The sequence below is a fragment of the Homo sapiens genome, chromosome 2, assembly GCF_000001405.40.
Source record: "Homo sapiens chromosome 2, GRCh38.p14 Primary Assembly".
Lineage (NCBI taxonomy): Eukaryota > Metazoa > Chordata > Mammalia > Primates > Hominidae > Homo > Homo sapiens.
This window is the reverse complement of record NC_000002.12, coordinates 16,408,547-16,432,014: the sequence shown is the minus strand read 5'-3', so window position 1 is coordinate 16,432,014 and position 23,468 is coordinate 16,408,547. Positions and strand designations below refer to the sequence as shown.

General features: G+C 41.2%; 1 long non-coding RNA gene across 1 annotated transcript in view; it reads right to left on the bottom strand.

Annotated features, from left to right (window-relative positions):
- The window catches only part of LOC107985855 (uncharacterized), a 78,008-nt gene that overhangs the window by 985 nt on the left and 53,555 nt on the right, over positions 1–23,468 (bottom strand). The gene's annotated exons all lie outside the window — the stretch shown is intronic.

Here is a 23,468-nt window from a genome sequence, read left to right as displayed (position 1 = left end):
CTAGGCAGTTTACAACCCTTTCAAAACCCAGGAAGCAGGTCTAAGTCCTGTCCTGGGTTTCCATGTCCCCTCTTGCCACATCACATCATACTCATTCTTTTTTGCCTTCTCACTCAAGTCCACACTTTTTGAAGGCAACTGACATTCATCTGCGGATTCCTAACACCTAGCACAGTGTCTACCACCCAGTAGATTAGCAGCAAATACCTGTGAAATAAGTAAATGGGCCAATATCAATGGTTGGAGACCGGTTCACGTAACCTCAGCGAGTCCCTGCCTTCATGCTGTAGGAAGCACAACACATTGTTTAAGACAAGGACTTTAGGGTCAGTGTGTGTGGGTTCAGATCCCAGCTCTGTCACTTATAAGATGTCTGATCTTAGGCAAAACACTTAACCTTTCTCTACCTCAGTTGTTTCATCTGTTAAATGCAATTGTTATTAAGTTATTAATAACATTAATGACAAAGAATCAATTCATTTAATCCTCACTTTGAATCCATGTTGGAAACTCCATAGCAACATGGAGTTCAGGTGAGGATTAAATGAGTTAATCCACTAAAGCACTTGGTGTAGCGCCTGTTACGTAAGAGCTCAAGAAACATCAGTTCTGATTATGATCTACCACCCAGATCCTGAACAACCACTGGGGAGCCTGCAGCCCCTGATCTGTCAGGGCAGATCCATGGATTCATTCTGGACAAGGGCCAAGCAAAACCCTCCATCAGCATCTTTCCAGGTGAGCAGAGAGTCCGAGACTTGCTGAGTCTCCCCACTGTGGCTACATCCCAGATCCTATCCCTGAGCTCCTCCCGGAATCTTGCTCACCTATTCTTTTTATTTTGTTTTTGTTTTCAGTAAATAGTACTGAGTGTCTGCTTTTGTGCAGCAACACGGCCTATAGTCAAGAGCCAGACAGTTGTGGTTCCTGCCTTCATGAGATGGCAGAATAACTGGAAGGAGATAAATTGAACATAATACTTGTGGTGACTCTTACAAGACTGAAGGGTGAGAATTTAGGGAAGTGGGCACCTAACTTCAGCAGTGGATACAGACAAGGCTTCTTGGAGGAAAAGCCATGAGAGTTGATTCCTCAAAAAGTTGCCAGTGATGTGGGTGGTGGAGGAGGGATGGGTGCCTTCCAGGCTGGCTTAGGAGCAAGTATGAACGTGTGAGCTATCTCTAGACATTCTCAAAAGACCCATCCAGCCAAAGATGGATGCCAGGGAGGTCAGTGAGATCCTGGGACACTTTTCAGGGCCCTGTGGATCCCTTTAAGGATTTTGAACTTTGTCTTTAAACACTTTGTCTTAAAACAAAGCCACTGGACGTTGTGGGTAAGCGAGTGGGAGGTGTTGGGATGACCTCCATGTTTCTAGTTTGGGAACTAGCAGAGTCGTGTACTATGTCTTGAAATGAACGGTTCAGAGGAAGCATCACATTTTGGAGGGCAGATGGTGAGTTTGGGATACCCAGGGGTGTACTGGTTTCCTACTACTGATGTAAAAAATTACCACAAACTAAGTGGCTTAAAACCACTCATATTGATTATTGTACAGTTTTGAAGATCAGAAGTGTGACATAGTCTTAGGCTAAAACCAAGGGGCTGGCAGAGTTGAATTCCTTCTGGAATTGAGTTGTATTCCACAGGGGCATTTGTCCCTTTTCTTCTCTATCTTCTAGGGTCTGCCCACATTCCTTGGCTCATGACCCTTCACCACTCCGACCTCTGCTTCTGTCATCACATCTCCTCTGACTCTGACCCTTTTGCCTCCCTCTTCTGTGGTTCCTTGTGATGCCCTTGGGCTCACCTGGATAATCCAGGACCATCGCCTTGTCTCAAGATCCTTAACTTAATCACATTGGCAAGGTGTCTTTTGCTATGTAAAGATAACTTATTCACAGGTTTTGAGGACTAAGACATGGACATCTTTGAGGGGAAGCGTTGGTCAGTCTATCAGGTAGAGTTAGGAGTTAATTTGATATGTAATCTGGAGCTCAGAAAAGAATGTACATTAGAGATATAATTTGGAAGTTACTGGTTTCAGTGAAATAATTGAGTCATGTTGGTAGGCAAGATAACCCAGTACAATAGCTCCAAGTAAGATAAGTGAGGTGCAAACTAAGCATTGAGGTCCTCCTTCAAGTCCATAAAGTCATGCAGAGGAAGAAAAGCAAGCAACAGGGAAGTTGATATCTCTTGGGGTTCCTTCCTCAAAGTTCTCAGGGACTTGTGTTATATCCATACCTCCAACTTCCCAGGGCCAAGTTCCTGACTGGTCATACTACAGATTCCCACAGGCTGCCTGCCAAAAGAGAGCTCCAGCAGGGACCAGAGCCCATGCAGGGATCTCACTGCACTCTGCTTTGTAGTCAATCACTTGCCTTTGCTTGTCTTTCTCCCAACCCACCAGCAGGGTTGGAGATGTCCTTCTTAGACCCCCAGGCACATCCATAGAACAATGAGTCTAAAGGTCTCCTGTTCTGACTGTCTGGGTCTCCAGCCCCGAGCAAATGCTGAGAGTCATTAGCCCAGATTTTCCAATCTGCTATGCTGCTGGCTTTTGAATCTTAGTCCTTACATGAATGTTGAAGTTTTTAGAAAAGAAAGCATGAAACAGGCATGAAACACCTGGGATCACTTTCCCAGCCCTAGAAATACCAGGACTTGAGGTGAGTGCCTCTTAGAGTTTCTAATTAATAAAATAATATTTCTTGCTGTGGGGGTGTAATACAGGAAAACCTCTTGCCCAAGAGGTGACCCAGGCAGGAAATGTAAATAATTTCGAGAGTTGTAGATATAGTCCTAGCTGACAGTCTGGCTGGAAGTCAGTGAGGCAAGGTGTGGAACATAGGGATAGTCTTAGTCTTGAAGGGGAGGTGTGGTCTGCAAGCCATGTGCTATCAATCTGCAATGAGATAAGTACATATATTGAGAGTAAGCATTCAGAAGAGTTTTCCAGAAATTGATATGGTCATGACGTCAAAGTGCATAATCATTTTTCTAGTAATTCATTTTGATTACATTTTATAAAAGTATCCATTTACAACAGAATTTTTAAGAACCTGATCCTTCCTTAGAGATCATTTGACAAACACAGGTATAGAGGATTTCCACAGCCCATCCCTCCAAATTTGACCCTTGTGCAGAGGGAGCACAGAGGTGATTTGTCCAGTGGGAGTGGGGAGCGGGGCATTTAGTAGAGATTGTGCTGATGTTACAACTCAAACCCTAAGAATTCATTTGGCTGGGGTCTAGCTTCAGCTTCATGGCACACTGATGCATGGTAGTAAATGGTGACCCTTATTACATGCCTGTTTTAGCAGGGGGAAAAGTAAATGCACCCTTCTGTACAGTATTTCAGAAGGAAGGACCAATCATTGTTATTACTGACTGGCCGGTCCAGAATTTGGAACTTGCTTTCCTCAGGTTTTTGCTCATGCTGTTCCTCCCACCCAGCAAGCTCTTCCTAAACCATCTCCTATCACCATGATGATTTCTGCATTCATTTCAGAGTTAGGCTCTGCATTTATTCCTGAGGCGTCTCTCCTGCCTGTCCCCTCCACTCAGCCAAGTTCTTCATGGCTACTTGCATGTCTCCTGGATCACACAGCTAACTGTGCAATTCGTTGTTTAATTTTATAGTTTCACTAAACTGTGAGTTTCCTTGGTACAAAGCTCTAATCTTTCTTCACTGTTAGGTCCTCATAGCCCAGCACCCTGCTAGGCACACACACACTAGGTATTTAATACATATTTGTGAGCAAAGGAATGGATGGATAAATAAGAAATGAATGAGTTAATGAATTGATATTTTAATAGCCTCTTCCCCATAGTTGGAAGTTCTGCTTAGCAGTCTATTCTCTCACTTTTCTATCTCTTCCATACATTTCAGTGCTGGCTTTGCCAACACTGAAAGAAAACAGTCGACAGGCTAAAGTTCCAACTCCTTGCCAGCAGATCCTTATGCCACGCTGTCATGGGAAATCTCGACCCCTTGCCACCCCCTTCTGCACCCCTGGCCCTGTGTGTTCACCTCTAGGGAGATTCAAAGAGGGTGAGCGGCAGCGGTCATAATCACTTGCTATCATAATGTAAATTTGCAAACCTATGTAATGTACCAATCTAATTTCCTTTGAAAAACATATACCCAGATAGTCTTTAAGTTGTGAACAATGTTTTGTTTCATTTTGCAGATATTTAAGAAATGTGAAGCAGGAATTGTTAATAACAGGAGGAAAAGAGTGGCCTCTTGTGTAAAGCCCGGAGTGCTGAGCTTGTGTGTGCATGCATTTACCGCCATTAATGATAATAGGAGTTAGGTGCATAATGGGTGTTCCTGTAAATCTATCCAGAGGATAATATACCCCTTAATTTAAAATAGCTGATAAAGTGTGAATAAAGGCCTCTCATCTTTACAACTTCTCATTTCTATTAAGAAAGGAATCACATAACATTTTAGGGCTCTCAACTAATTAACTGTGCATATGGATTTGGAGGGCACGTGCTTTGTGCACAATAGACTATTCCCCCATCTACATTCATAGGCGGCGGAAGCTCTGGGGCTGAGAACCCTGGATGTGATTGAACTTCATAGCACCGGCTTTGATTGGAAGGGGTTGTCTGCTTACCGCTTGTCAAAGGAGAGGAATCGCTAAATCAGCGGTAGGGACGGAAGGAATGGGAACTGAGGCAAACAAGAGAGCTAAAGAAAAGAGATTACATCCTTTGGAAGATTCTAAGTGTCTGCTACATTGCCTTGAAAATCTAACACATGCTGGGAGACCCTGAAACCTGTTCATAGTGGCAATTCTACTGTAAAACCTACTTCTTAGAGATCAACCATATGAAAATCTGGCTGTTTGGAACGTAGAATGTGCAAAAAAGAACAAAAAAATTTGATTCAACATAAACACATAAAAAGGTCTATGTGCTTTCCACTTGCTATATTGTATTTTATTTGTGATCCACCCAGCTCTTGATGTGTGCCAGGCCCTTCTGGCTAATGTCGACATTAGTTGATGTTTGGTCTTTAGCTGTGACATATATAATTAACAAACAAGATAAATATACACTTTGCCATTCTGATATAAGTGGTGTAATTAGATATTTCTCCTTACATTCCTTCCTTAGAGAGATATTCACAATCAGCAAAAGGATGATTAAAACAACAAACCGATACATTTCCAGAATTCAACAAAAGAAACAATTTCTGTAAAAGCCACTAATTCAAAACCAAAGAAATTGTTTGATATGAACACTTAGTAAGCACTCAATGAAGATGTGTTCAATTAAATGGAATTGAATTGAAAATTCAAAGGAATCATTCATATTCAATTCAAAACAGTGCTTTTCAAATGTCAGGAAGTTGGAAGCTACTCCTTTATTCACAATTTCCATGTAGTTTAGAAAAAAAAAAGTATTTGTCTTCTATTATTTCTTATTCTTCCCTATGTAATTAGAGGAAGGCTATAAAGTCTTATTAAGACAATCTCTAGACTTTTTAAATTACATGAACAATATAAAGCAAATAGGCCCTTTTAGGGAGAGGGATTTTTTTAAAGATTTGCATTTCCAGCAGAGCCATGAGTAACAGAGCCAGTGTCAAGGAGAGTGGATGCCACCAGCGTTCAATGAAGAAATTGTATGATCTGCCATTTAGCAATTTCACTTCTGTGTCTTTTTTCTCTTCCCTAAACCTACACCCCCAACTCAGTTTCTTTTTTTTTCCTCTGTTGCTGATCCAGATGCTCCAAAGAAATCAATATTTGTTGATTTTAGGACACAGGCAGTAAATCTGGAGTATTTTCAGCTTGAAGGTGTTTCTCTCTAACCCTGCTGAATAACATGGTGACTTTGCTACTCAGAGTTTAGGTGAGGCAACATGTGACTCCAAGGCATGTCTGTAAAAATGTCCATGGAGCAAGAAGGAGACTCATAACGTTGCTTTTTCAAAGTGCAATAAAACACCCAAATCTACCAAGAGCTAGTGGGCCCTTGCACATGACAATTAAACATTAACAGCCCCAGGGCCCTGGGAGCAGGGCCCAGCAACCCTTTGAAGCCCTGTTTGCCAATTAAACACCGTCTGACATTCGAGTCAAGGTGGCAGGGATCCAAAGCAGAGATAGGAACGTCAACCACTTCAGGGGCATTCATTAGCTCCCCAGACATTCCTGGCGTGGCCTGTTTCTTTACTATTGCCAAATCCACACCCTGCTCTGGAACTCAGGGGCTCTGAGAAAGTTTACTCAGATAAGCTTATTATGGAAATAGCACTTTGTCACCGTTTACTACTCACTCCTTGTTCAATTATCTTTTATCTGTTTAGAGTATTTGCCAGCTCTCCCAAGGTTCCCTGGGATGAGGCCACTGGATTGAAAGTCCTCACTGGGGCTGTAGAAGGGGTAGGGGGAGGTACCACTCTGTGCTTGCCTTTCTGGTCCAAGAATGCTGAGCTCTCTCCAGCATTTTGGAAACTGCTAAGAGGGTACTAGTAAAAGATCTTGTATTTTCTGATCATGGGAAAAACTGCCCAACCTTGAGACAGAGACCTAGGTATCCTGAGGCCCCACAGTCAGCAGAAAGAAGGATGGTGTGTCATTTTGATTATAATAGTGAGCATTTAATGCATATTACTAGGGCAGAATGATGAGCAGGGAATTTCACCTACTCCCTACCACCATTCATATTAGACGCTCTCTCTCCGAATTTATGCATAGCTTTGGAACCAATATAATTGAGGTTTTTGTTGGTGAGCCTCAGTCAAATCCCAGTCGCCACCATCACCACGGTTCCTATTGAGTCATCTGGTCTATTATCGTTGTGGAGTACCATTTTTGTATTTTAATGCCTTCAGATTGAATGACTTCTCTATGGTGAACTCATCCCAGATGTCAGGATGCATGTTGCATTTTTGCTGCTGTGATGGTTTTAAAATATGCCCATAAGTTCTTTGATACTCCTCCCATCAAAAGGTAGAGATTAATTACCTTTCCTCTGAGTATGAGCTGAAATTACTGACTCACTTCTAACCAACAGAATGTAGTGGCATCCAAATTTAGGTAATACAGGTCATTGAAGCTTCTGTCCTGCTCTTTCTCTCTTATTGCTGGCTCTAGTGGAAGCCACTACCAAGCCATAAGGAAATGCAAGAAGCCCTGTGGAGAGGTCCCTGTGGAGAGGTTCACATGGGGAAGAACTGAGGCCTTCTGCCAAAGTCCATGCAACCGAGCTTAGATGCAGATCCTGCAGCCCCACACAAGCCTTAGATGGTTTGTCCCAGTTGACAGCTTCAGTGCAATCTCAGCAGAGTCAGGACCACTCAGCTGATCTGCTCCCAAATTTGGGATAATTTGTTACGCAGCAATAGATAACTAATATACCTGCCTCAACTAATTGCCAAGGAACTGCAAAAGGATCCCAGGCAAGAGTCACCAGACCTTGTTGTTTACAGGCTGTGTGACCTTGGAAGATTTACTCACCTGCTCTGGACTTCAGATTTCTCTGTTGATACTTGCTGTTCTAGTTGATGTGAGAGTCAGTGAAGTGTTTTTGAGAAATTAAGAGTTCTCTGATATCATAATTGTATTGTTGTCCAGAATATCTTCTTCTGCAGTGATTCCCCCTCTTGCTTTCATGCTTCAGCTAAATTAACCATTTCTCCTCAAAAGAGGCAGCTTCACTTTTGCCCTGTGTAGAATGTCCTCTCCCTATTCTAATTATCTAAAAAATGAAATATCTCTGTGCATAATGTGCTCAGCTGTTCACCTGCAGCACAATGTCTTTCTGTTCATTCTTCCTTCTAACAGAACCCAGATCACTTTCAGAAAGTCACCTGCTCCCAAGCTACTCCTTATCCCCAGTTCTAAGAGGAAACTTTGATCGATTCAAGCCAATCAGAGTTATCTCCCTCCCTTTGTCAGTGACTGGTTTAGTATCTGTCATGTAATGCAATTCTGGCCAATGCTCTGGGGGAATTCTGGGAATGTTTTTCTTGCTTCAGAGAATGAGAAAAAGACGTTTTTGTTCTTCCCCTGGGCCTTCATCCTGTCTGGATTTGGCTCCTGGGACTTCCGTGTCATTGTACTGCAACCCAAAACTCAGAGGGTGCAGCTGAGAGTCATTGCAGAGAAGTGGAGCTGGAGTCCTGGCCCCACGGCACCATAAGCCCGCCCCTGTAAGAAACTCTTAGTACTTGGGACTGCTTTCCTGCCAGAGCCAGTTTGAGTAAGGATGACCTACTGTGGTTAAATCAGGCTTCAGAGCCAGGGCAAATCTCATCTCCTGCAAGATGCCTGCATGGGCCCACCCACCCTTGAAGGCTTTTCTCAGCTTAGAGGTCCTGTGCCTCTGCCTGGGTGGGCAGCTCCAGTGGTCATCACTGGATGCACACAGCTTTGTTCCAGTATTCAATATCAATGCATCACACCCTCACTTACCACTGCACCCACCACACTGAGAGCCTCATGGAGAAAGGGCAGATTATTAGTGTCTGAATTCCCCATACCAGCACCAATCCTGCACATGAATATGTTCAGTAAGCCCAAAAGGTTCTGTTGAACCTTCCTCTAACCCAGTGGGTACCTACTGACCTAACAGTTCCATAACTTAGGAAGGCACACAAATGATTCCTCACATAATATGCATCATTTGTTCTGTGATATTGGTTTCTCTGTCTATTCGGAGAAGCAGCTGGGATTTTTTTTAATTGCCATATATTAATTACTTCATTATAAATGGATGAATCCAGGCAACAAAGCCACTTACTTTCTGTTCAAAGCCTCTATTGGTTATTTATTCTTAACTATGTGAGTTGAAAATTATAATCTACCTACAACATGTGAGAATTGAGTAAGATAATGCATGCCAAAACCCATAGCATAGTGCATGGGAAGCAATCAGAGATCTATGAATTGCAGGGGTTCTACAAAGTGAATGATGCCTAAATAGTAAATACTAGTGCAAATCTAGATAAATCAATGGAAAGAGAGAGCCTGTTCACAGGGATTAGTACTAAGCAATGAACTATCCAGATCTTCACTAAGAAGGGTAATTAATTGTGGGGAGTGACTGAGACTTTATTGGAAGACATGAAAGGCTGACATGTATCATTGCCCTATTCTTTGTAACTTCAATTGAAGGTTTTACTCTCTTATGATCAGGTACTGCAATAAAATGACTACAATTTGGAAATCAAACTTTCTCTTCCATGTAGTTGCTGAATGAAATTTGTCATTATTTTTCCATAGTTGAATATACTATCTGGTTTGTGCTCTTCATTCTCCCAAATAGGAAATTTTCCTGAGCAAGGAGAGTCAAGAGGATGGCCTCAGATGTATGAAGCTCGTCACTATTATCCATAGGGTGCACCTTCCCAATCTTTAATGTTTCAAAAGCATAAGAACTCTCAGAAAGGCCCCCTTTTTGCTTAAATTGAAATGAGAAATTAGTGTTAGTATTTAATTCTGCCTTGTAATCAATGTTTCCAACTTCCTTCCCTCTCTCTGCCCCCTCAAAAGCAAGTTTATAACTACCCAACTTTAAACTAAAAGAATTGTTTCTATGGGTTATGATTGAGAACAGTGTGCCAGAGACCAAGACTGAAGTTGAGATTGGATCCCCACAAGATCATGTCATTTTTCACAGAAAAAGGGTTTTAACCCAGATATAATAGGCAACCCCATGAGCAAAGGTGACCACTGATCACATTGGTCAAAGGGGACTGGGCAAGAGTGTGGGGGCTCACATAGACCTTGACTATGAGGTCTCAAGAGACAGGCACAAGGCCTGCTTCATCTCTAACTCTCCACTACACACCCCATAGTGCCTGAATCACACATACTCAGAAAATGCTGTTGCTCTGAATCTTCATTTCCCCAAAGCCAATGGGATATTTAATGGCTTCGTTAAATAAATGTAGAAACTGTGGGTCTCATAGGAAATTGAAATGAAATTAGAAACATTTTGAAATATGCATAAACTTTAGATGTTTCTCTTTAGCCATATCATTCTGAGTGTTATATGGAAGTGAATCTGTAACTGCAGGCAGAGAGAAGAGAAAAAACCTGCTAGTATTTCTTCCCATCAAGTAGCATTTAAATACACTAAAGATCACCAAATATGCATGTATGCCAGCATACTTCTGAATCAGTTGTTTGAGGGACCACTTAAAAAAAATCTAAAGAATACAAAGCTATTAAGAACATACTGGACAAAAATATTTTGGGACCTGGAGGAGATAAAATACATATTCAATTTATAGACTCATCACACTTTGTCACCAAATCGGGTAGTACCTACAGCTGAGAAGGAACATTACAAAGTCTTTGTATTACGGTGCTTCTTTACCTTCTATTTACAAAGAAAAGTGTTGGAGTAAGACTTTAACTTTATTATGGATATCAATTCCTGAAAAAGCTCTGTGAGTTAGTCTCTAGTGCAAAATTCAAAGCTCAAAAAATTTACAAGTTTTTTGTTTTTGTTTTTACCATGATAATTTTGATCAACCATTGTGGCTGAAAACAAGAAAGACCTTCCTATGGGAATCTTTCCTACAACTGCATTGTTAAACCCAGCCCTATTTGTTGCATAGCCATTCCTTCCCTATGGGGTTGTAATGAAACTTTTATTGTATGCTGCCATCTGCTTCAAGGCAATATCTCCTCTTTTTATTAAAATGTTAGGTGAGCTTTGCACCAGAATCACATATTTAATTTTTTTAATAACTGTAGCTTTATAGTGTTTGATATCTGGTAGGGAAATTCCTTCCCTTCCTTTCTATTAAAAAAGCAACCATTTAAAGTAAACTGTAACAAAAATTTAAATTATTTATCTGTTTATGTTCCAGATGAATTGTCAAATTATTTTGTCATGATTTTTGAAATCTTTATGGAATTTCTGACATCAGTATTGTATTCAATCTATAAATAGATTTGGAAGGAATTGATACCTTTACAATATGTATTCTTCTCTTTGAAGGATATCTATTTTTACTCACTCGTGTGGGTCCTCCTTTATATTTATAAGTAAATTATTTCTTTTTTTGTTCTCATGCATTTCTTATTTATGTTATTGTTGGGTATTTTATATTCTTTTGCTATTATGAATACACTAACTTCTTTATTATAGCATCTTCTTTTTGCTGAAATATAGGATATCCATATATAATATTCTATAATTTGGCTTTTTGTTGAATTCTTAATAATTGAAAAGAATTTTCCCTAATCATCTTTAGTTTTCTAGGTAGATAATTGTATTTCCAGTAAATGAGAGCACTGTGCTCCTCCTTCCAATATCCTTCCTCTCAATTCTGTTCCATGTACTACTGTGCTGGCTGAACCTGTCCACTTCTCTTCCCCACCAATGCCACTCTTGTCCAAGTTCACGTCAGCTCTCACCTTCACTGAGGCCAGAGCTTCCTGCCAAGTCTACCCTCTTTCCCACTGACAGCCTCCTAGTTTATTCTCAGTACTGTCACCTGGACAATCTTCAACATGAAATGATCATGCCACCTGAATGCATCAAATGTCAATGTCTTTCTGTTTCTTTCAAGATAATGATGAAGCTCCCTACTATGGCCTCTAGTGCACAACATAGCTGGTTCTTATCTACTTTACCAGCCTCTGCTACCACTGCAAACACCCACCTGTCCAAGCCCCCTCTAACGTGTCATTTCTAGAACTGTTCTAAGTACCCCTCTTCACCTAGTAAACTCTTAACATCTTTCCACTTGAGTTTTAGACTCACTTTCTCTGGGAAGCCTTCCTTCTAGATCAACTCCTTCAGTTACATATGCTCAAAGTACCCATGGAGCTCTCTGCAGCTTTATCATTAATTCTGTTTCACATGCTACATATGATTACTTAATGGCTATCTATCCCCCTTACAAACTGGAAACTCCATGAGGCTAGGAACCGTATATGTTTTTCACATCATTTTGTTCCCAATGCTTAACAGAATATCTGGCACTTTAATTAGCCAGACTGATTAAACATTTGCAAATACACAACATCTGCAAAAAAAAGTTAAGTAATAATTGTAATTTTTATTTTTTCCTTATTTTGGAAGGAACATCCATAGCATTTCACCATGAAGTATGTTTGCAGTCAGCTGCTGAATTGAACACAGATATTCTTTTTCATGTTAAGGAAGTTTTCTCCAGGTCCTAAATTATTGTCTGGCCACATGGGTACAGATTGAAGCTTCTGCTCAGGTCAGTCCTTCTGGGCTTATTTTCTGTCCTCAGCCTCACCTACAGTGCTTTGCTTCTGATACTGACACTTCTCTAAAGGCAACATTCTATAGCCAATCCTCTTCTATCATTTGTCTTTTGTTTTGTTTAATATCTCTTACCACATAGTGAATGGAAGCTTCTGATGAGGAGGGTGGAGAGTAGTAATGCTACAAAAAAAGATCACCTTTTAAAAATGGGCTGTATCGGCTGGGCGTGGTAGCTCACGCCTGTAATCCCAGCACTTTGGGAGGCCGAGGCAGGCGGATCACGAGGTCAGGAGATCAAGACCATCCTGGCTAACAGGGTGAAACCCCGTTTCTACTAAAAATACAAAAAAAATTAGCCGGGCGTGGTGGCGGGCGCCTGTACTCCCAGCTACTCGTGAGGCTGAGGCAGGAGAATGGCGTGAACCCGGGAGGCGGAGCTTGCAGTGAGCCAAGATCGCGGCTACTGCACCACTTCAGCCTGTGCGACAGAGCGAGACTCCGTCTCAAAAAAAAAAAAAAAAAAAAAAAAAAAGAAGGTCAGAATGGCTGGGTAGCATTCTCATATGCAGCCATTGGGTGCCTAGACCCTGGTAATACAGTGCATGGGGAGAAGCACACCAGTGCCCCACCTCTGTCCCAGGGTGGCTGTGCTGATCTTTTTCAGGTGGCAAAGCGTTTACCAATTACAATTCATCATTCTCAGCTTCTCTGCCTTGTATTCTAGTTGATGGATGAATTTTTTCCAGTCTCGCAAGAGTTCAACTGCCTTTATAATGTGAGGGTATCAGAGCTTATATTAGGGACACCCTGAAGCAGAAGTCTTTAAATGATATCAAAAACAATGACTGCCCTCCTAAGGTGGAGCAAAGAATCCAGAGATTGGCTCTCACTAATCGGTGCTTTTTCAAGAGTGGGCATTGGTGAGGGGGAAAAAAGAAAGAAATCTCTAGAAACTGGGGACTCAAGCATGGGAAGGAAGGAAAAGTGAGAAACATGTCGCAAACAGCTATTATGCCCTGAGAGTCTTTAAATCAGGGACTGGCATGTCACCAGTTCTGTTCTCTAAGACTTAGTGACAGCTCATTTATGAAAAATAAATAAACAAGATTTGATGTCAGATAGAATGTCTATTCCATGAAAACTCTTGTTGCATCTGGCCATAGAAAGCTGCGTTCCTGGACAATCATTCCTCATCAATCCCATGAGGGACACTTTGGCATTATAAGCATGGCAGACACCAAGAGGTTTTATAGTCTCTCTGTTACACTTATTATCAGAATGTTATTAAGAACTTGGTTCAGAACAACACAGCAAATTGTGTCTACGGAACCCCGTAGTAACAATTTCTCCATGTCCCAAGTCTAAGAATACACATTTTTCCTGAGCAACTAATATATATCCATCATGCATGATCGAATTAGGTAACTGATCACACTTCTGTCTACACTGGCTGCTGGGACATTCAGAGTCCACACTGCAGCTCAACATAAATGACTGCAGGACATTAGAGTATGCCACTAGATATTACCATTATTCTTCTAATTTTGCAAGTTTTACTGTGTTGATAATTATGTGCTTTTAATGGTGTTTTATTTTTATCTAAGTCTATTTTTCATATCTGTGTAAGCTACCTCAGGTTTTTTTGGAAAGGGGTCAAATATAAGTAATAATTAAGAATTGTCATCTTTGTATGCCTCCATGGTATGGTCTCAACTTAATCTGGAACATGGATGCCCAGAAACAATTCATAAAAGAGAAAGAGAACATTCATAAGCACCCAGACTCATGACTGTCAGCTTCGCCTGAACTCCTGAAGGGATATGATATGCACTCCTTCCCCTATGGTCAGCTCCACTTCAGCTTATTTGCTTGATGTGTGTGTGTAGAGGGCACAGCCCTGTGTCTGACACATAGAAGTGCTTTTGATAAATTTTGAAAACATAAGTGCGATTTTTGCCTTGGTTCCCAAGTTTGCACAAGCCGTCTCTTCAGAAGGATGGCAACACCCAATGTTACAGGCAGAACAGATGGGCTATCCTAGGACTCCAGGTCCAGTAGCAATTTGGCAGTTTTACCTCTAAAATCGTTTTCTAAAAATAAGTAATTCAAATTTTGTAAATCAAATCCCCATGAAAATAAAACAGGTGGGGAAAACCATTTTTGGCTACCATCCTCCTATCTTTGCCGAACCAGACATAAGGTAACATGTTCCTTTGGTATGGTGCAGTGTTCAAAGTCTCTGTGGTACCTGCAGCCATCCACAGACATTGACCCAGAAATGCTTGCAGGTAAGAAACTTGCCCCCAAATGCCACTATCTACCCATTTGGCATATGAAGCTCATCACAGTGCAACCATTCATTCACTGGACAAACATTTGTTGACCACTTGCTATACTACCTACCATGTGCCAGTTCACACACTCTAAATTGGAAATAAAGTTTCAGAAATAGATCTTACATGTGCTTGTATTTTCCTTCATTTTGTCTTTTGGAAATATATGGGTTTATAGAAATCAATTTTGATATTAAGATAGGTCTGCAAATACAATCAATGATATCAGAGGTATGGAAAGCCATGGATATCTGGCAGATATATTGTTCTGTTCCAGAGTGCCATAGTTATATTAGACTTGCTGCTATAAAATTAAGCTCAAACACAAATTTTGCTGCTATAAAATTAAACTCAAAGACACTCAACACAGCTATAGAATTACACTTTAACAGGTATTGGCTTAACAAAATCAAAAGTTGTTTCTAGCTCATGTTGACAGTCTTGGGAAAGTAAATAAGTGCATGAGATTTCCCTCCTTCCCTTGGTAATTCTGGGATCCAGAACTCCTTCCAAGTTTTTCTGTGGTTCTGCTGCTAGGGCTGCATCATCGTCTGGATTCAGCTGACAGAGAAATAAGTATGAGGGCACTCATGCCCGAGGATTTTATGGGCCAGGCCTTATAGGGGCATCAATTTGCCGGTATTTCCTCAGCTATAATTCAGGTGCATGTCCACATGGCCACACCCAACTGCAGAGGAGATAGAGAAATGGAACCCAGCTGTGGTCCAAAAAGAAGACAATTAAGATTTTGATGAACAATTGGCAATTTCTGTTCACAGAAAGAAAAACTAGTTCCAGTGGGTGTTAAATGGAAAACATATTTGAGTTCAGTAAAAAGCAAAACCACTTAAAAATTGTAAATGTCCAATGGTGCAACACGTGCTTTGTGATGTTGTGAGAAGTTCCACATCCTTCCTCAAGCCACGATGAGACAACCTATATTGCAGGGTGGCTGCAAAGATAGTTTCGGCCTAGGGTGCAACTGAAGGGCAAGCATTGGCTCATAATAACTTACAGTATAAAATAGTTTATTTTTTATAAAATATTACTTCATCAGATCTTCAGTTAAATGTTCTCACCTTCAAAGTCCCCCCTTCCTAAAAAAGAATCTCCATCTCCTTCTGACATCTTTCTTTAGTTTATCAGTACCTGGATTTATTTTTATTTATTATTATTATTAGTAGTAGTAGTACTAGTAGTATTTTGAGAGAGGGTCTCACTGTCACCCAGGCTGGAGTGCAGTGGCACAATCTCAGCTCACTGCAACCTCCACCTCCTGGGTTCAAGTGATTGTCATGCCTCAGCCTCCCAAGCAGCCGGGATTACAGGTGCCCTCCATGACACCTGGCTAATTTTTGTATATTTAGTAGAAATGGGGTTTCGCCATGTTAGTCAAGCTGGTCTCCAACTCCTGACCTCAAATTATCCACCCACCTCGGCCTCCCAAAGTGCCAAGATTACAGGCGTGAGCCACTGCACCTGGCCCCCGGATTTATATTGCATGCTCTGCTTGTTTGTTTATGGTCTGTTTCCCATTCTGATTCTGGGATGATAGCTTCTTGAGGGCAACGACTTTGACTCTGTTGTTTAATGCCATTTACCTATTCCTAGGACAGTGCCTGGGCACAAATATATGCAAACATTTGTTGAATGGCACAAATGGATAAAAAAAATGTGGTATATGTACGTGATGAAATACTATTCAGCCATAAAAAAGAATAAAATTCTACCATGTGTGACAGAATGGACTAACCTGAAGGGCACTGTGTTAAGTGAAACAAGCCAGGCATGGAAATACAACAAACATGACATGATCTCAGTCCTATGTGGAACTTCAAAAAGTTGAGCTCATAGAAGTAGAGTAAAATAGATGTTACTAGGGGCTAGAGGGCACAATGGTGAAGGGGTTGGGGAGAGGTTAGACGACTGGTACAGTGTTTCAGTTCGATGGGTGAAATAAATTCCGGTGTTCCAGTGCACAGCAGGCCCACTATAGTAACACTAATGTATGTATATTTCAAAAAAGAAGTTAGAAGAGAGCAATTTGATTGTTTTCACCACAAAGAACTGATAAATATTTGAGGTGATTAGATATGCTAATTACTGTGATCCTATCATTGCACAATGTATCCATGTATCGAAACATTCTGTTGTACCCCACATATGTATACTATTATTATGTGTCAATTAAAATTTTTCTTAAAATAGAAAAATAAATTCGGTAAATGACTAAAAATAAGAAAGATAAAAGCAGAAACAGTCTATACAAATGATTAAGCTACAGTGCAAACTTCACATAAATTTAAGATCAAAGTGCTGAAAGAGCTTAGAGTACTTTGAATTCAGCATCTTCATCCCTTCATTCTTTTGTTTGTACTGTCAGTCAAAAAACATTTGAAAGAGGGAAAGAAAAGAGGGGGAGAGATCTCTTGGGGTCCTTCATAAGATGGAGCTAACCCCACTCATGAGGGCTCCGCCCTTAGGACCTAATCATCTCCCAAAGTCCTCACCTTCAAATTCCGTCACATTGGGGTTTAGGACTTCGACACAGGAATTTCGTAGGGACACAAACATTAACTTCATAGAAACAAATGTGTGTTGAAGTGAGATTTCACAGTACTGGTGTGTCATTTTTGTTTTTGTTTTTGTTTTTTTGAGACGGATTTTTTGCTCTGTTGCCCAACCTGGAGTGCAATGGCACGATCTCAGCTCACTGCAACCTCCGCCTCCTGGGTTCAAGCGATTCTCCTGCCTCAGCCTCCCGAGTAGCTGGGATTACAGGCGCCTACCACACGCCCAGCTAATTTTTGTATTTTTAGTAGAGACGAGGTTTCACCACGTTGGCTAGGCTGGTCTCAAACTCTTGACCTCAGGTGATCCACCCGCCTCAGCCTCCCAAAGTGCTAGGATTACAAGCCTGAGCCACCGTGCCTGGCCAGTGTGTCCTCTTTTAAGTTTCCATACTCCTATGGGTAAAGAAAGATGGCTTTCATATGTGACATAGATGGACCAAGGAGAAATCACAGGACTTGAAATCAGAAAAATCCAGAGCTTGGTTCTGCCACGTGCAATATTGTGATACCCACTTTACCAATCAGACACTACAATTCCTCATCTGCAAACTAGATCCATAAATATTTCCTCAGTTGATATAACTTATCTTAAAGGCCTGGATCATAGTAATAAATCAATAGAATATCAGTTGAATTAAATAAGATCAGGAGACACAGTCAACTACACATCAGAATTGTGGAAATGCTGTCTTGCCTTGCTCCATGACTGTATGAGTGAATAACAAGGCTGGTCACTCCTCACGCATAATGGCCCTGCCCCACACTCTCTAACCCTTGAAGTGCTGAACACATGTTGGGTTTAACATAAGTAGTCAGCAAATCATTGTTGATTGTTTGGGGTTTATTAAGTGATATCTCACAGATTTGCATTAGATAGTCACTCATTCTTTGTCTTTGTGTATAATCATAGGAATTGCCCTATACTCTCTTTATAACTGATAAAATCACTCACATTTGTGGTTTTATTCTATCCTAAGTTCAGTCTTAAAAAGTAGACACTTTTATCACCACTGTACAGAAAAGGATATCGAAGTGTTTAGAGGTTATGAAACTTGCCCAATGTAGAAGACTTTCAAGTTACAGAGACACAGCCTCAAATCCTCTTCTGACCCCCAATCTGTGCTTATCCAACCCCAGGAGAGCTCCTCAAGCCACTCATAGGCCATAGAACACCATGGGATCACAAAGAAATCTTTCCTGGCTAGAAACAACCTATACATTCCTTTGTAAGGCTTCCAAACATTGTCTGCTAATGAGGTGCCTCTGGGTTAAACAGCATCACTTGCCAGCCTGCCTGAGATGGTACAACTTTTTTCAGACCTTGACATCATGTCTGTAGGATTATCTTCTCCTCTGTTATGTAAAAATAGTCCTTGCACTCATCATAGCCACAGCCACCGCACATGATGCCTCCTTATCTGGGACATGCAGGCCTCTCCTGCAGTGAGCTCCACTTAGCCATGTGCCCTGGGAACCTCTGACCGGTGGTCAGCAGCACGGAAGCCGAAACATCCTGGGCTGTTCTGCGGCTGCCTCTTCCTGACAGTTTCCCAAGTCTATCTCTGGCTGCCAGTGTTTTCTTTTTAAGAGTAGAGAATGTTACTCACTGTCTAAACTGATCAGTAGCTCATACTTAATGATTTATTAATTGGACAAATATTTGTTGAGTGCCTTTACTGGAGCCAGGCTTTGTTCATGGCATGTGGGATAAATCAGTGAACAGAAGAGACAACCATCACCTTCCCAGGGGATTTTACATTCTAGTAAAGGGAAGTGAATTATCAGCAACAGATATAACAGTTAACTGAAGAATCTAGCATAATGGAAGGGGACAAACACTATGGGGAAAATAACTCATGGAGGAAAAAAATGCTGAAGAAGTCAGCTGGCAATTTTAATAAAGTAAAATGTAAATAGTCCTCATTGAGCAGCAATATTTAAGCAAAGACTTGCATATCTGCAGGAAGAGAGTTTCAGACATAGGAGACAATCAGTGCAAAATCCTGCAGTATCAGGGTGCCTAGCATGTTCAATACATTGAAGAAGGTTAGTGTGGCTGGAGCAGAGTGAGGGGTGAAAAGCAGAGAGGAGATCAGAATGGTAGGGCCAGGTCATGTTGAACCAGGTGACATAAGAGTCCTACCAACTTAAAGTATAATAATAATAAAATAAAAAAATAAAAAAATTTTAAAAAGTCCTACCAGCCTGTTGAAGGACTTTGGCTTTTAATATGAGTGAAATGGGGAGCCATTGGAGAGAACTAAGGAGAGGAGGGATACAGTCGGACCTATTTTTAAAAGAGTAGCTGACCACTCTGTTATGAATAGACTGAGGATGTGGTGAGTGGGGGCTTGGTGGGGAGTTGGCAAGCCACTGTAGGAGCAGGGAAAACAGGAAGCAATTGTAGTAATATCCAGGTGAGAGATGCCTGGAGACTCATAGGTAGCAAAGCAATGGACAAGATGATATAACTGGTGTGCTTTCCTGATGGATTGGACATGGGATGTTAAAGAAGAGACGTGAATGACTAAGGTGTGGGGCTTAAACAGTGTAAGTGCCTCAACTACTGTGCATATGAGGAGGAGTTATTAAAGTTTCCATTTTCCTTATGTTAATGTTAAGATGTCTCATCCACAGTCACGCGTATCTGTTGAGCAGGCAGTGAGATACAAGCCTTATAAAAAGACAAAGTACTAGGGCAGAGGTAAAAATCTAGGGATCTTCGGCATATAGGTGGTATTTAAAGCCATGTGACTTGCTGTGAACTGAATGTGTGCCCATCAAATTCATATGTTGAATCTCTAATCTCCAATATGATGGTATGTGGAGACTGGACCTCTCAGAGGTCATCAGTTTTGGATGAGTCACCAGGGCAAGGCCTTCGTAATGGAATTACTGTATCTCTCTCTGTGCCTGCACCAAGGAAACATCATGAGAGGATACAACAAAAGAGAGGCTCTCACCATGCTGGCACCCTGATCTTGGGCTTCCAGACTTTTGAACCCTGAGGAATAAATGCTGTTTAAACCACCCAGACTAGGCTAATTTGTTATAGCAGCCTGAACTGACTACGACAAAAGTAAAGGAAAAAATCAAGGAAGTGGGTGAAGAGAGAACCAGAGACCAAGGACTGCATCTCAAACTCTCCAAAGGTTAGACTATGGGAGAAGTGGAGGAATCAGACAAAAGGCTGAGAAGGAGCAGAAGAGAGGTGGGAGGGAGACGTGGAAATTCTGTGTTCTGGAAGTCAGGTGAGGAAAAGGAGTAAAGGCAGAAGAGGGCAAGAGGATTGATTGTGTCAACTGTTGAAGAGAGGTCAAGTAAGATGAAGACCAAGAACTGACCATTGGATCTGGCAAACTGAAGGTCATCAGTGATGTTAACAAAAACAGTTGCAATGTCAGAGTAAGTTCAAAAAAGAGTAGTAGAAGTGGAATAAGAGTTGGCAACTCTTTTGAAATGTTGCACTGCAAAGAAGTATTGAGAAGTGGGCAGTAACTGGTGGAATAAGAGGGGCAGAAGAAGGTTTTGTTTTGTATTCTAAAATGTGAGAAATAACAGCATGTTTGTAATCTGATGGAATAATCCAGTAGAGTGTGAAAAACTGATGAAGGGAAACTAGTCAACATGATGTTCTTGAGTAGATGGGGGAATAAGAACTAGTGTGCAAGTAGAGGTCATGGCTTTAGACAGGCACAATAGTTCATTTATAATAACAGGATCTAAGGCAGAATCTAGGGCAGAGGCCAGGACACTTTTCCTCAAGGGCAGGATATTTGTTATTTTGGGTTTTGCAGGCCATATGTTTTCTGTTGAAACTACTCAAGTCTGCTGATGTAGCTCCAAAGTGGTCGTAGCTGATATTTAAATGAGTGGGTGTGGTTGTCTTCCAACACAACCCTATTAACAAATACAGGTGGCTTGATTTGGGCCATAGTTTGCTGACCCCCTAGTGGTCTAGGGTACAATCATGGGATAATATTCTCAAATGTGTTCTCTACATGTAAGTTCAAACATTTGGCCCAATGTTTGAGTTGGAAGATAGAGCTCAAAAACTTTGGAGATGAAAAAAAAATCAAGAAGAGATTTTTCCTGATGTTATTTGCACCAAAATCTCAGAAATCACCACTAAAGAACTTATACTTGTAACCAAAACCACCGGTTCTCCCAAAACTGTTGAAATAAAATAAAATTTAGAAAGGAAGAATCAAGAATTCACTTCTACAGAGATCCAATGAAGCGTAGCATTTACCAGACTGTAGACCCCAACAGCAGGGAATGAAATTTATTTATCTCTATTATGCCACCATCTAGCCCCAAGCCAGCACATGGTATAGTAGGTGCTGTCTTTGGTAACTACAGAGCACTACATGGTATAGTAGTGGCTGTTCATTGATAGATTGAATGACCAAATGACCATTCTCACCCTCCTAGACTCATTTTCCTTGGTTTCTCAGATAAAACTGGGTCTTCTGTGCTGCCCCTTGAGAAGGTACAAGGAGAAAATTTGAAGCTAAATGAAATGATGATTATTATTTTTTACACCAAATAATTATCACCCTTTGTTGAATAAAATTATTGGTTAGGAAGTGAGTGAGGATTTTTGAATGAATTAATGCAAACTCAATGCCACCAGGAACAAACTGAAAGGATAGGTATTACTCATTGCTGAGCAATGGGATTATCTTTAGGATGAAGAAGATGATGATGATAGCAATGATGACGATAATGGTGATGATGATGATGATGGTCATGATGGTGATGATGGCGTTGATAATGATGGTGATGATGGTGCTGACGGTGATAATGGTATTGATGGTGATGATGGTGATAATGGTGGTGATGGTGGTGATGATGATGGTGATTATGGTGATGATGATGGTAATGATGGAGGTGATGTTGGAGTTGATGGTTGTGAGTTTGGTGGTTGTGATGATGGTGATAATAGTAATGTTGAGGGTGGTGATGAGGGTGTTGATAATGATGATGGAGAAAGTGAAGGAGGAAAAGTGGCAGGTGCCACTACAGCAGCTCTTACAGTCATTGCTTCCTTCTGCTAACAGGCAAGGAATATCACAGAACTAGAATCAGAAGGTTTGGGTTTGAATTCCAGCAGTGATGTGTTAGCTGCTCATCTATGAGCTGATCACTTTGGCTTTCCAAAAGATCACAGCTTCCTCATTAATATCATAGTAACAAATATAATCCTTGCCTGCCTAATAAACTCAGTGAGGGACAAATCAGCACATGGATTAAAATGAAAAGCACTGCATGTACCAGGCTCACAATTACTATCATAAGTCTCTTCTCTGCCAGACTTGCCCTACTGAGTCCTTTGTAGGATCTCATTCTTCCTTTAGATGATTAGCTTTGAAAGAGAGAAGCTGACCCAAAAGTCACTTAAAGTAGCAGCAATTATTATCAGTTCAGGCATCACTGTATAGGAACATATCATATATTTTATCTGTCCTAGTCTGCCCAGCCCCTCCCAGAAACCATTAAAAATACCTACCCCCCTGCAGGCTCAGCCCACTCTGACCTTTTTGGCTTTATAGGACTCCCTTAAATCCCTCCAGTGCACTCCAGAATTATTCTCTACTCCCTTAGCAGATATTCATTGGGGTGAACATCACCATGGCACCTGCATTACCCTAAGGCCACAGCCTCCTTATCTTACTCCCATTGTATGGAACTAGTCTCTCTGCCTGCCCAGCCTTCCAGCAGGTGGCCATTTCTCATCAGTTTCCACTTACAGCTGAATTCCAACCCTGAGCCCTAGGCTGGTGAGCAGGGGCCTTCACCGCTGATCAACATCCTGACAGCCCCTTTCCAGAGTCCCTTTCCTGAGTACGGATGGATCTTCTTGATCTATGCTTGACATAGAAATCCTTACTCCGTGCTGAAAATTGCTGGTGCCAAAAAATTCCATGCATTGCCCCCAAATATCAACTCATTGGTACTGCTACAGATTCCCATGCGCTTTGGAGATTATAAACTCCTGCCTGGGGCAGAGGCAACCCTATGCCGTGGGCTACTCTGTTCAGGAACCTGCATTCCAACAGCCTTATCTCATTTCTCTTCCCTCCTAAGAACATTCCTATGCCATGGGTACAGAGCCAAGGGACCATCTCTAATGTTTCTTATGGCAGAGACCATTTCTGCTCAGCAAATATTTCATGTGCTCCCCTACATTTTCCAGTTTCCCTTGTGATTAGAATAGGGTCATATTCACAGTTTTGGTCAGAATGAATGGAAGTAATTTATATCACTTGTGGCTGAAGCTATCCCAGGAATGTATGCCTCTTACTAGGTTGTCAAAATCTTGGATGAATAGTCCTCA